This window comes from Homo sapiens, chromosome 8 (genome assembly GCF_000001405.40).
Source record: "Homo sapiens chromosome 8, GRCh38.p14 Primary Assembly".
In the NCBI taxonomy this organism is placed as follows: domain Eukaryota; kingdom Metazoa; phylum Chordata; class Mammalia; order Primates; family Hominidae; genus Homo; species Homo sapiens.
Genome location: NC_000008.11, coordinates 3,492,022 through 3,504,985, shown reverse-complemented (window position 1 = coordinate 3,504,985; position 12,964 = coordinate 3,492,022). Strand labels below are relative to the sequence as shown.

At 39.7% G+C, this 12,964-nt stretch overlaps 1 protein-coding gene across 3 annotated transcripts in view, besides 1 other annotated feature; it reads left to right on the top strand.

Annotated features, from left to right (window-relative positions):
- Window positions 1-12,964, top strand: part of CSMD1 (CUB and Sushi multiple domains 1) — a 2,059,554-nt gene that overhangs the window by 1,489,929 nt on the left and 556,661 nt on the right. For all 3 annotated transcript variants that reach the window (XM_011534752.3, NM_033225.6, XM_017013731.2), the window contains exon 11: window positions 11,260-11,363. In XM_011534752.3, coding sequence (XP_011533054.1) covers window positions 11,260-11,363 — 104 coding nt within the window. The remainder of the gene's footprint in view (window positions 1-11,259; window positions 11,364-12,964) is intronic.
- Window positions 11,088-12,287: an enhancer, noted in NCBI's record as "BRD4-independent group 4 enhancer chr8:3350221-3351420 (GRCh37/hg19 assembly coordinates)". NCBI's record gives its function as "activates an origin of replication core promoter dependent on BRD2, P300/CBP, MED14 and CDK7 cofactors, and independent of BRD4, by STARR-seq in HCT116 cells {active_cell/tissue: HCT116}" and the evidence as "EXISTENCE:reporter gene assay evidence [ECO:0000049][PMID:35650434]".

Here is a 12,964-nt window from a genome sequence, read left to right as displayed (position 1 = left end):
TACTTTCCCTGGTGCACTGGTTAATCTTTGTTGTTGTGCTTAAGCATTTTCTATCTCTGCCCATTTCACTGGCATTTTGACGGGTTCTGCTTCAGAAATTTTCCTTGCCACATTTGCCACTATCATTTTCACATGACTCTCAACTTGCTACTCTCTTGAAATTTAATGAATCTCACCTTACTCCTCAAGCATCCACAATTTCTTCATCTAAGTAGTTTGTGAAAACCACACTTAAGAGAAGCAAAATACCACTACTGCAATAGAGAAGGAAGGGTGCAGGTGATAAAATTTGCCGGGAATTCAAAAGATAAGAGGTCATTTTAGATAAAATTGGAGTTAGAAATTGCAGAGTCAGAGAGAAGACAGATGAGTTTTTCTTGGTTATAAAGACTCGTGAGATTTGAAATAACAGAATACTTCAAATGGTGGCAGAATGTGCCTGGGTCTGGCAGACATGACAAGGTTTTTATGAAGGGTTGCCATGAGGATAATAATGAACACAACTGCCATTGATCAAGTGTCTGCTGGATGCCAAGAAGAAGTACACACCTTGCTTGCACTGCATTCTTGAATCCCAGAAATCCCCCAGGGAAATCGGCATCATTCTCATTTTACGGATAAGACAGAAGAAAGGTTAAACAATTCTTTCAAGACTCTCGTTGAGTAAGCAGCAAAGCCCAGACTCTCTCTTTTGTCAGTGTGATTGTACTTGTTCACTTAAAAAAAATGTTTTTTTAAAGAAATTGTTAATTAATACATAATAATTGTACCTGTTTATGGGGTACATGCAGTGTTTCAATACTGGTATACAGTGTGTCATTGATCAAATCATGGGAATTAACATATTCATCACTTCAAACATTCATCATTTCTTTGTGTTGGAGACATTTAAATTCCTGTTTTCTTGCTATTTTGAAATACACAGCAAATTGTTGTTCATGACAGTCACCCTGCAGTGCTGTCGAACACTGGAACTGATTGCACCTATCTAGCTGGACTTTCATACCCCAAAATCAACCACTTCTTGTCCACGCCCTAACCCCCGCCTCCATATTCTCACTCATGTGGAAGTTTAAAAAGTTGATCTCATCCAAGTCGAGAGTTGAACAGTGGCTACCAGGGGCTAGGAAGAGTGTGGGGGTTGGGGGGGGGCAAGGGGGGATGGGGGGAGATGGAGGGCAAGGAAAGAGGGGGGCTGCTTTTTAGGCCATTTTGAAACCACAGGTGGGCTGAGACAGGGAAAACTAAGCCAGGTCTTCTCAGGAATCCTTTCCAGTGGATGGGGGACATCCAGCTTCTTTAGCTGTCTTGAGCTGAGACTAATTCTCTCTGTAGCAGGGCAGCACAAAGAGAATTACGGTAATTTATGTACCATTTAAAGCTGACAAAAGGGACTTGGCAGGGCCCTGAGGGCGGGGATGTCAGTAATACTTAAAGGTCCAGAGAACCATCTGGGAGATTTTAGCATGAAATACCAAGTTTCTTGGCTTCCTGCCAGCTGATGCCGCCGTCCCAAGACTGCTGTGTTTTAGAGGAATTGCGCTTTTCACTGCCTGTGCAAACTTTATTTCCCACCCTGAATCACTAGCAGCTTTGACTTTTTGTAGCATAGGCTAATAGTCATATAGTTACATTTGAAATAATGTGTGAATCCTCTTCTTCATAGCAGTGCATTGAATTGTAGTTTATAAGAGACTCCTAGTGTTTATATGTGGGGCTAAACATCTCAGATAAAGCAAGGATATCCCAGAATTAATGACATATTTTTCTAACTCCCTTTCTTTGTGTGTGGGTGTGTGTGTTCAAAGTACTTTTTTCTAGGTTGAAATTCAGTCTTTGTAATTTCACACTGTATACTGTGGGCTATTGGTATGTGTTGCATACAGATATAAAAGCTTATATGTGTAATTTTTGTTAATTTATTAGGTTTTATTTTTAGAGCAGTTTGCACAGCAAAATTGATCAGAAGACATAGTTTCCCCGTACCCCCTGCCCCCACACATGCACAACCTCCCCACTGTAAGCATCCTCACCAGATGCTTTCAGCATGGTGTGTTTGTTACATTTGATGAACATGCATTCATGCTGTTCATGCATGATGAACATTGATTCATGCTGAATTACCAAAGTCCATAGTGCACGTTAGGGCTCACTCCGGCTGCTATTTACTCTGTGGATTTGGGCAACTGTATAAAGTCAGTGTCCACCATTATAACATCACACAGAGAGTTTCACTGTCCTAAAAATCCTCTGTGCTCCTGCTCTTCATCCCTCCCTCTTCTAACCCCTAACAATCACTAATCTTTTTACTGTCTCCATAGTTCTGCCTTCTCCGAAATGTCATGCAGTTGAAATGTTGCAACACGTCACCTTCTAAAATTGGCTTGTTTCACTTGGTAAAATATATTTAGTTTTCCCCCATGTTTTCTCATGGCTTGACAGCTCATTTCCTTTTAGCCCTGAATAATATTCCACTGTCTGGATATACCACAGTTTATCCATTCACCTGCTGAAGGACATATTGGTTGCTTCCTAATTTTGGCGATTATGAATAAAGTTGCTATAAACGTACATGTGCAGTTGTTTGTTGTGTGGAAATACTTCTTTTTTTTTTTTTTTTTGAGATGAAGTCTCGGTCTGTCCCCCAGGCTGCAGTGCAGTGGCGCGATCTCAGCTCACTGCAAGCTCCTCCTCCTGGGTTCGCGTCAGTCTCCTGCCTCAGCCTCCCGAGTAGCTGGGACTACAGGCGCCCACCACCATGCCCGGCTAATTTTTTTATATTTTTAGTAGAGACGGGGTTTCACCACGTTAGCCAGTATGGTCTCGATCTCCTGACCTCGTGATCTGCCAGCCTCAGCCTTCCAAAGTGCTGGGATTTGTGTGGACATACGTTTTTAGCTGTTGGTGTTAAATTCCAAGATATATGATTATTTCATTATTTGATAAGCATATAGTTGGTTATGTAAGAAGCTTCCAAAGTATCTTCCAAAGTGACTGTACCATTTTGCATTCCCATCAGCAATGATTGTTGTATGTGTTCTTTTGTAGGAAATTTAAACGTATATTTATCCAGTATCTATGGTAGATATATTTGGTCAGTTTGTCTCCTTATCATTAATTACATTTTTAGTTGTTTTATGATTGGCCCTTACAACCTCAGGTGAAAACAAGTAAAATTATTTGATAATATTTATTTTCTAAGAAAGTGTGCATTTTCTTTTAAAATGTGTAATCGTTCTTCTTGCAACCGTGTTAATAATTTCCAGACATAAACTTGTTATCATGTTTTTTATGAGGAAATTCACTGTTTGAAAGGCCTTTCTTCTGATACATAATTTGAAGTGGAATGAATCAGATACATTATAGCGTCAGTTTTCCAGTGTTCCTTCCAGTGTGTTCTGAGTTGTCATTTCTAACCCATTAATTTCAAACCTACAGTTATTAATTAAAGCATTTATAAATTATCTTATTCCAAGATGTAGGGTCTTGGTACTGATTTATATTGTGCTGTCAGTTCTAAATCTTGGAAAATTATAAAATATTTTTCCTATTCATTTGCCTGCCATCACAGTTTCTGACACAAACATGTTATTCAGAAAAACAAATGTAGTTTACGGAAGAACATCAAAAGGAAAAACTTAAAAATAGTGCTATCAAGGAAGAAACCCAATGATGCATACATTTTTCTTGGGGTGTGTGTGTATGTGTGTGCATGTGTGTTTCTGTGCCTGTGTGTGTGAGCATGTGTGTATGCACATGCACAGAGGCAAAGATCATAGAGATCAGTTGATATATTTGGATTCTTTTGGTTTAACTGAATCAGGAGAAGTGGTCTCTCTATTTGAATGGACCCATATCAAATGAATTTTTTTCAGTAAATTGAAACTATATAGTATATTTTATTTTTGATTTTTGGGAAATCTTTTCATTTTGTTTATAAATTAATATTTTGTCAAGGAAAATACATATTATTTGAATCAAAGTAGCAACAATATTTCTTTCCTGCAAAATCATTTATATACTTATTGAATCATTCTTATTCTCTTGCAATATTCTCCATTAAAAGAAAAAATCCTCTCTGACACATTCTTACTTCTCTTCATCCATGTTAGTTAAGATACCTGAGAGATCTGCAGAACCACTTACTCCGCTTCCTCACATCCCATTCTGCCAATCCACTTTAGCGCTTCTTCCATGCCTACAACTCTGCTGTTCTTTCTTGCCATGGTTATCCATGTCCTCCATCCAGTCAAGCCCACACGTCTCATCTTAGAGCTCATCTAATTCACATTCTTAGTAGCATTCAACACATGTGATCACTCCCTCCTCCTTAAGATCTTTAGTTTTATGGATTTTTCACAAAACACCATATTCTTGGTGTCCTCCCTACCACAGATTCTTTTTTCTTTGTCATTTCTTCCTCAATTCCTTGACCTCTAAATATGAAAGAGACTGCAGCTCATCCTCATTCCTCTTCTTTTCACGTGCCTTCCTTTGATACTCTGACAGAGTCTTAGTATTTTAGGTGGCATCTGTGGTTAGGGACCCCCATTTCTGTGTGTCTGGTCGTGAACCTCTCCCAAGCTCCATACTGTTTTTTTCTAAATGCTCACTGGCCACAGTGGCTTGACGTACCATCTAGAAATGTCTAAAAGTCATGCAAAGCTTAGCAGACATCGAGATGTCTAGCTAGAGTGCCCAGCACTTTCCTCCTTCACAAAGAGGAACCAAAATGACAAGTAGGTAAGCACATGTCAAGTGCAGTGTCTAGGGGAGAACACTGTACTGAAGCAACAGAGTAAAGAAGACCCTCTAAGGCATGGAAACTCAAGATGGCAGCATAAAGATGAACGTGAAGTGCGCAGGTAGGATCCGTTCAGTGCCAAAAAAGGACTCCCGATTGTAGGGAGAAGGTAAGTGGGAGATCCCCAGCAGGTCACACTCCCACCCCAGATGCCTGTATTCAGGGCTTCAGAAAAGCCCCCACAGGCCTCATAGGCCCTGAGCCAAGGGTAGGGAGCTACCTGCAGCCCACATGACTGTTTTGCTCCGGGGAGAGAACTCACACCGGGTTCCTCTCTTGTTCTCTGGGCCTCAGGCTGCTGCAGCATGGTGCCATTTTCAGGACAGAAGAACTATCAGAGTACATCCTGCCCACAGGGCCAGTAGCATCTCCACATCTTGAGAACGCAGCCATCATCCCACCACAGCCAAGGAGAAGGATGCAGGACTATGACCCCAGCTGCACTCAGTGACACAAACCTGAACCCAGCACTCAAGACCATGAAGTACCCTATACCACAAGTCGTCAAGCAGAGTCGGGAGGCCACTCTCAAGACAGGGGGAGCCAAAGTGCATGCTCCCAAGACCCTGAGAGCTGAATTCTTGAGGCACACTACCAACAAGCACCCTGGATATATGCCTCTTGCAGGAGACCAAGGACTGGCCTTTTGGGTACTGCTGCCAGCAGTGAACACTCCCCCCACTCCAAGCAGTGGAGTTGCTGAATGCTCACACATGCTCCCCAGGGACCCAAGGACCAGCCCACCTGAGGCCAACCACTGCCAGAAAACTCATTCCACTGAGAAGCAGAGATGGCTCATGTGACCTTCTATATCCCCAAAACAAGGCCACCCCAAAGTCTCCATCTGCATTAGAGCTGAACCAACACTTCCACAAACACCTGCAGCCAAGGCTACTCAGACAGCTACAAACATGCAGACATTGATTACAACCAAATAAATATCATGAAGACTGCACTACTGTACTCATGCAGAATACAAACCAAAGCACCCTACCCAACTGACACTATGAGACACATCTACAGGAAAAAGTTTTTTCCTACTAAAACTACATTCTAATATTAGGAGAAATTGTTTTGTCAGATGTATAGATACTAATGTAGGAACACAAGAAATGTCTAAAAAGCAAGAAACATGACACCCCCAAGGGAACAAAATCATTTTCTAATTCCATATCCCAAAGAAAAGGACAGCTACAAAATGCCTATATGATTTTTAAAATAATGATGTTAAAGATACGCCGTGAGAATCAGTAGAATAAAAATAGACAATTCAAAAAGTAGGAAAACAATTCATGATCTGAATGAGAAATTCAACAGAGATATTACACAAAAAGAACTAAGCAGAAGTCTTGAAACTGAATAATAAAATGAATACAATTTAAAAAATAAAATCAAGAGCTTCAACAACAGACTAGATCAAGATGAAAAAAGAATTTCTGAACCTGGAGACAGGATTTTCGGAATAAGCCAGTCAGACAAAAAAGAATAAGTAAGAATAAGGAATGCCTACAAAATGTGTGGAACAAAATGCAGGGGACAAATATTCCCATTATGGGAGTTCTAGAAGGAGAAGAGATCAGAAAGGTGTAGGATATCTATATAATAAAATAACAGCTGAAAACTTCTCAAATTTTTGGAGAAATATGTGCATTCAGATCCAGGAAGCTCAAAGATCACCAAACAGATCTAATGCCAAAGATGCTCTCCAAAGAGCATTATAATCAAACTATCAAAAGTCAAAGACAATTCTTCCTTCTCTCCTGGTGATTTTGTAATTTTCCCAAGAAAAAGAAAAAAGAAAAAATTATTTGAGGTGATGGATATCACAGTTCTCCTGATTTGATCGTTAAACTTTGTATACATGTATCAAAGTACCACATATACCTCCAAAATATCCACACCTTGATATAGCAATATAAATACATAATAAAAAACTTCAAAGACAAAGAGAAGTCTAAAAACAGCAAGACAAAACAGTCAAGTCAAATATAAGCAAGAAGCTCCCAGACTAACATTAGATTTCTCAGCAGAACCGTTACAGGCTAGGGGAGAACAGGGTGATATAATGAAAATGCTGAAAGAAAAAAGAAGAAGAAATGTCAGCCAAGAATACTATACCCAGCAAAGCTATACATTAGAGTTGTAAGAATAAAATTATTCCCGGATGAGGAAAAGCTAATAAAAATTTATCACTACTGGAATGGTCCTACAAGAAATGCTTATGGGAGCCCTTCATCTGAAAGTGAAAGGGTGATAACCACCATTGTGAAGACACACAAAAGAGTAATATTCACTGGTAGAGCAGACAAATAAATGAGAAAGAAGTAAAACCATATCACTACAGAAAACCACCAAACCACAAAAATAACCAAGAAGAGAATGAGAATGGAATAGAGGATGTGCAAAACAACCAGAACAGAAATAACCAAGTGACAATATAATTTAAAAAGCAATATCTAAGTGCATACTGCCTATAAGAAACTCACTGCACCTGTAAAGGCATAGACTAAACTGAAGACATTACAAGAGATAGTCCATGCAAACAGAAACCAAAAACTAGCAGGAATAGCCATACTTTTATCAGATAACATGGACTTTAAGTGAAAAAATGTGAAATGGCTGGGTATATTGACCCTGTAATCCCAGATACCTAGAAGGGTGAGACATGAGAATTGCTTAAACCCAGGAGACAGGTTGCAGTGAGCTGAGATTGCACCACTGCACTCCAGCCTGGGTGACAGAGCAAGACTGTGTCTAAATAAATAAATAAATAAATAAATGGAAAGTGAAACAAATGTAAAATGAGACAAAGACAAAAATAATGTATAACAATTGTAAACATATATGCACCCAACACCAGAGACCCCAGATATATAAAGCAAACATTATTGATGGGAGAGATAGACTCCAATATAATAATAGATGTGGACTTGAACATCCTGCTACTCTCAGCATGGAACAGATTATCTAGACAGAAAATTAATAAAGAAGTGTTAAACTTAAACTATAGTGTAGACCAAATGGACCTAACGGACATTTACAGAACATTTCATCCAACAGCTGCATAATACACATTTTTCTCATCAGTACATGGTATGAATATTCTTCAGGACTGATCGTATGTTATCCCACAAAACAAGGGTCAACAAATTTTTTAAAAATCTAAATCATATCAAGTATATTTTTTGACTGTAACAGATAAAATTAGAAATAAATAACAAGAGAAACTTTCAAAATTGTACGAATACATGGAAATTAAACATGTTCCTGAGTGTCCAATGGGTCTATGAAGAAATAGGCCAATGGGTCTATAAAGAAATTAAGAACAAAATTTAAACATAATTTTTTTTTTGAGACGGAGTCTCACTCTGTTGCCCAGGTTGGAGTGCAGTGGCGGTGGTGATCTCAGGTCACTGCAACCTCCACCTCCCAGGTTCAAGTGATTCTCCTGCCTCAGCTTCCCGAGTAGCTGGGGCTATAGGCACACGCCACCATGCCAGGCTAATTTTTGTATTTTTAGTGGAGACAGGGTTTCACTCTGTTTGCCAAGCTGGTCTCGAATTCCTGACCTCATGACCCACCCTCCTCGGCCTCCCAAAGTGCTGGGAAATGAAAATAGAAATACAACATACCAAAACCTATGAGATATAGTAAAAGCAGTGCTAAGAGGGTAGTTTATAGCATTAAACACCTATATCAAAAAAGTAGAAAGATTTCAAATAAACACTCCTAGCTCTGTGGCCTGGAGGAGTTGATGTTCAGTGAGTTCTTGTAGGTTGAGGCCAGTGCTTCCCTCCACGAGCAAGCCACATGGTGTCTGCCCTCAATCCTTACAGGGAGCTCTGCAGGGCAGGCAGAACAGCAAACCAACCAAAACTGCCAACACAGGGAATGTTATGAAGGGGATAGGCAGGATTTTGGCAAAGAGACTGGCTTTCTTGGACAGAGTCGGCAGTGGAGCCATAGCTGAGGGAGGAACATTAAGCAGGCACTTAAGAAAAATGGCAGGAGTAGAAAACCAAACACCGCATGTTCTCACTTACAAAGGGGAGCTGAACAATGAGAACACATGAACACAGGGAGAGGAACAACACACATCGGAGCCTATTTCGGGAACATTGGTTGGGGAAAGCTTCAGGGAAAAGAGCTAATGCATGCTGGGCTTAATACCTAGGTGATGGGTTGACAGGTGCAGCAAACCACCATGGCACGTGTTTACCTATGTCCCAAACCTGCACATCCTGCCCATGTACCCCGGAACTTAAGGAAAGATAAGATAATTATATGTAAAAAAAGAAATATGGAGCATCCAGCTCCAGGACAGCTGAGGGAGTCCATGCAAGACATAAGGAGGGTGCATATGCTGTAGGAACTAAAACCATTTTGGCTCAATGTCATTAAAGTTGCTCACAACTTGAAATGTATTATCCTTTTGTCTTCAGTTTTCATTTGCATCTCTGGTTCTTTTACTCTGAAAGGATGGTATATGTGGTTAAAATACACATACTTCTATTTTACAGCTGCATATATTTGTAAAATGCCATATGACAAACTAAAAGCTGTCTATGCAAGACCAAGGCTGCATTTTCTGTTTTTACTGAGCATCAGCAGCGTGGAGTAAAGATTGGTGTTTGACAACAGGACCTGCTGATTGTTGAGATGAAATACTGACAAAGACTTTCTCTGTCTACCTTTGCCTTGGCTTGAAATAATTACAGAATGGCCCTTTTTCCACCCCTAATGAGAGCCCATTCATATAGTGTGACCCCTATCTGTACACATTGCAAATCAGCCAAACATGACACACAAACCTTAATGAATTATCATCGCTTCCCACCAGAACTTTAAACAAGTCAGGACTGAGTTAACATGTCGGAAAGGAAACCAGCAGGTCTCAGTGATGATTCTTTCAGTTTTAAAATTGTCTGATTATCAGATGATGGTCACTTATAAATTGGTTCATGAGAAACAAAAAGTAGAAATAAAAATATCAGGTGCTACGTTTAACATGCAGTATTTATACTGGTTTGCAACAGCTATCAACCTCGACACCTATTTCAAATGAGATTGCTAAAATAATGTATTCATACAAATACTGCAATTTGAAATAGTAGGTTTTTTAAATAAATTATAATGGCTATATTAATAATTTTAGTAAGAATTTCAAGTAGCAAATGTAATGTATTCCTTTTTGGCATTGCTTGGAAAAGCACCTGTTTAGAGCCTGTTGGAATGGTGGACATGGACTTGGGTATTAGTGGGAAGTCTGTCTTCTCTATGCTACCACTTACTCTTTTCTTTCAAGCTTAACAAACAGGCATTTGATACTTTTCTACGCTATTTCAGAATTTCTGTTTCATTCTAAAACACAGTTTATTAAAATGTACTTCCAGTATTATGGTTTCTGTTCCTCCTGTCCCTTCTCTCTTCCGCCTTCCTTTCTCACACCCTCTGCGTCTCTCTTGTTACATCTCTCTCTCTCTCATTTATATATTCATGTATCTGTGTATCGTCTGTCATTTTTCCATCCACCCATCCATCCATCCAGTCTGTCATCTATCTACTATCTGTCATCTATCTATCTATCTATCTATCTATCTATCTATCTATCTATCTATCTATCTATCATCTAATCTGTCTGTATCTGCTAATCTTCTACCATCCATCTAATCTATCATCTATCTATCATTCCTCTAATTATCATCATGTATTTATCTTCTTTCCTTTTTCTCCTTACTACCCAGGGTTCTAGCCTAACTTTTTCTTCCTCATAGTATTGGCCACCAAAGGAAGCATTTCTTCTTTCAGGAGAAAAAGATCTTGTGCTCTACAGAAAGAAGTTAATAGATTATAATATACTGGCACATCAAACATAAACCATTGTTGTACAGATGTCTTGGTGCTGCTCATCATGACAAAGTATTCTTTGTAAAAAAACAAACAAAAAACTTACAGGCTTTGCAAGACTAAATATAGAGGAGAGCTTTGTATCCTCATAAAGTCTTTTGGGGTGCTAATATGGATAATTCCATGAAGTATGCATATAGAACTTTAAAAATATTTATTGCAGAGCATTCTGGATATGGTAAAAATATATGTCATTAACTATAACCAACATTTCTTTTGCTAATATTGATTTAGTTAAGCACTGAGAATGTTAAAGTAAACATTTAGTAGATATTTGGCTTAAAGTGTTGCAGAGGTTAAATTTCATTTTTAGAGGTGAAAATACATAAGTTGGGAGTAATAGCAATTCTGAATTTCATAAAATTCTATAATGCCAGGCTATCAAATATATATAATTATCCATGTAACTACTTAAAGCAGCTCTGGGATCATTTGACATTGGCATTAAGGAGCAAAATTTAACAGTATAACTAGATATTTGCAATACCTATTAAAAGTCATGGGAAGTACCTGTTGTTCTAAGTCACTGTTTCGTACCTTGTATTTAGGTCATCAAGCTTGCCTTTGAAGAGTTTGAGCTGGAGCGAGGCTATGACACCCTGACGGTTGGTGATGCTGGGAAGGTGGGAGACACCAGATCGGTCTTGTACGTGTGAGTATGTCCTTGAGCTTCTTCTTCTCTTATGCATGCAGTGCGGGGCACGGTGGGTGGAGATGAGATTCTGCTACAGGCTTGTAATTCGGCCTCAGGTGTTTGCTTAGTGCCATCTATGGCTAATGTAGTGGCCTGCAATCTCATTTTGTATGAGAACACATTATGAGTATAATTTAGGAGTATGTGTTATCTGTTTCGACTGTTTTTCTTCAATTATTAAAAACATATATGTTTATGGCAAAAAATTAGTATACTCATGAGGTAGCAAAAAACAATAAATTTTTCAAATCAACCCCTCCGCCCCCCCTTTTTTTTTTTTTTTTTTTGAGACAGGTTCTTACTCTATCACCCAGGCTGCAGTGCAGTGGTCAGATCTCGGCTCACTGCAACCTCCGCCTCCCGGGTTCAAGCAATTCACCTGCCTCACCCTCCTGAGTAGCTGGGATTACAGGTGTGTGCCATCATGCCAGGCTAATTTTTGTATTATTATTAGAGACAGGCGTTTGCCATGTTGGCCCGGTTGGTCTCGAACTCCTGACCTCTGGTGATTTGCCCACTTCAGCCTCCCAAAGTGTTGGGGATTACAGGTGTGAACCACCGCACCCAGCCAACACCTCTTTTTTAACCTCTCTCCTCTGCTTCCCTGTGATGTTATATTATCAGGGTTTTTAAAGAGGTACAGATGCTTTCTAGTCTGGGAAATACAGGTCTTTTTTGGAATAATGCCATACACCTTTCCAGACTTCCTGTAAAACTGCGTAATAAAGTAACAGACATGGGGGGGAAAAGTGTTGGGGGTGACTCAGTGTACCTTTGAAGAACTCTGATTCCAGAGTCTTAGCAAACACGGTGACAGCCTTGCTGTGAATATTTGCAGACTGATCCCACTTCTCAGTTTTCACCAGGATCACAGACTGTTCTGCAGCCTTATGACCTGGGCATCTGCTTCAGCTACTTCCAGAGAGAGGGCCTCAAAGACAGTTTTTGTCCATTTTATCACACCTGGTTTATGAAAATTAGGAAAATGATTTGAGGGTGTACTTCCTCTCTGTTTTTAAGAGAAAGGAAATACCTGCTCTTATCTGCCTTTGCAACTCCACAGATAGCTTCTCTTCATGTTGTAGATCTTGAAACCACTAAACCAGAAGCGTCTTTCATTAATGGAAAGTGTTCTGCAGGTGTTCACCTTGCTTTCTTTGTCTACTTATATACTACTGAGGATGCCTCTTTGTGGGAAAGAGAGTTTCTGTGGTGCCAGATGAGCTGGTCTGCCCTATGTGAGACACCCATGGGGAGCCATGGGCGGCTTCTGAGGAGAAAAGTCTCCTTATTTCCTTCATGTCTTTATGCTCTGAGAGCAGAAGAGCTCAGCGGCATGCCACTGGTTGCTTGGGGAAATAACACTCCACTGAAGCAATGGAGAATAATCAAACATCTTGGCTTCTCCTGAAACCCACGCCCACCCGTTTCAGTCCCAATAGGTTAAAGATCTTAAGTAGTTCAGACACACGCCTTTGCTGGAGGAAATTCACATACACCTTGTTGAATGACTCACAAGTTCTCCTTCACTGATTAATCCTTTTCCTCATCCCTTCCTA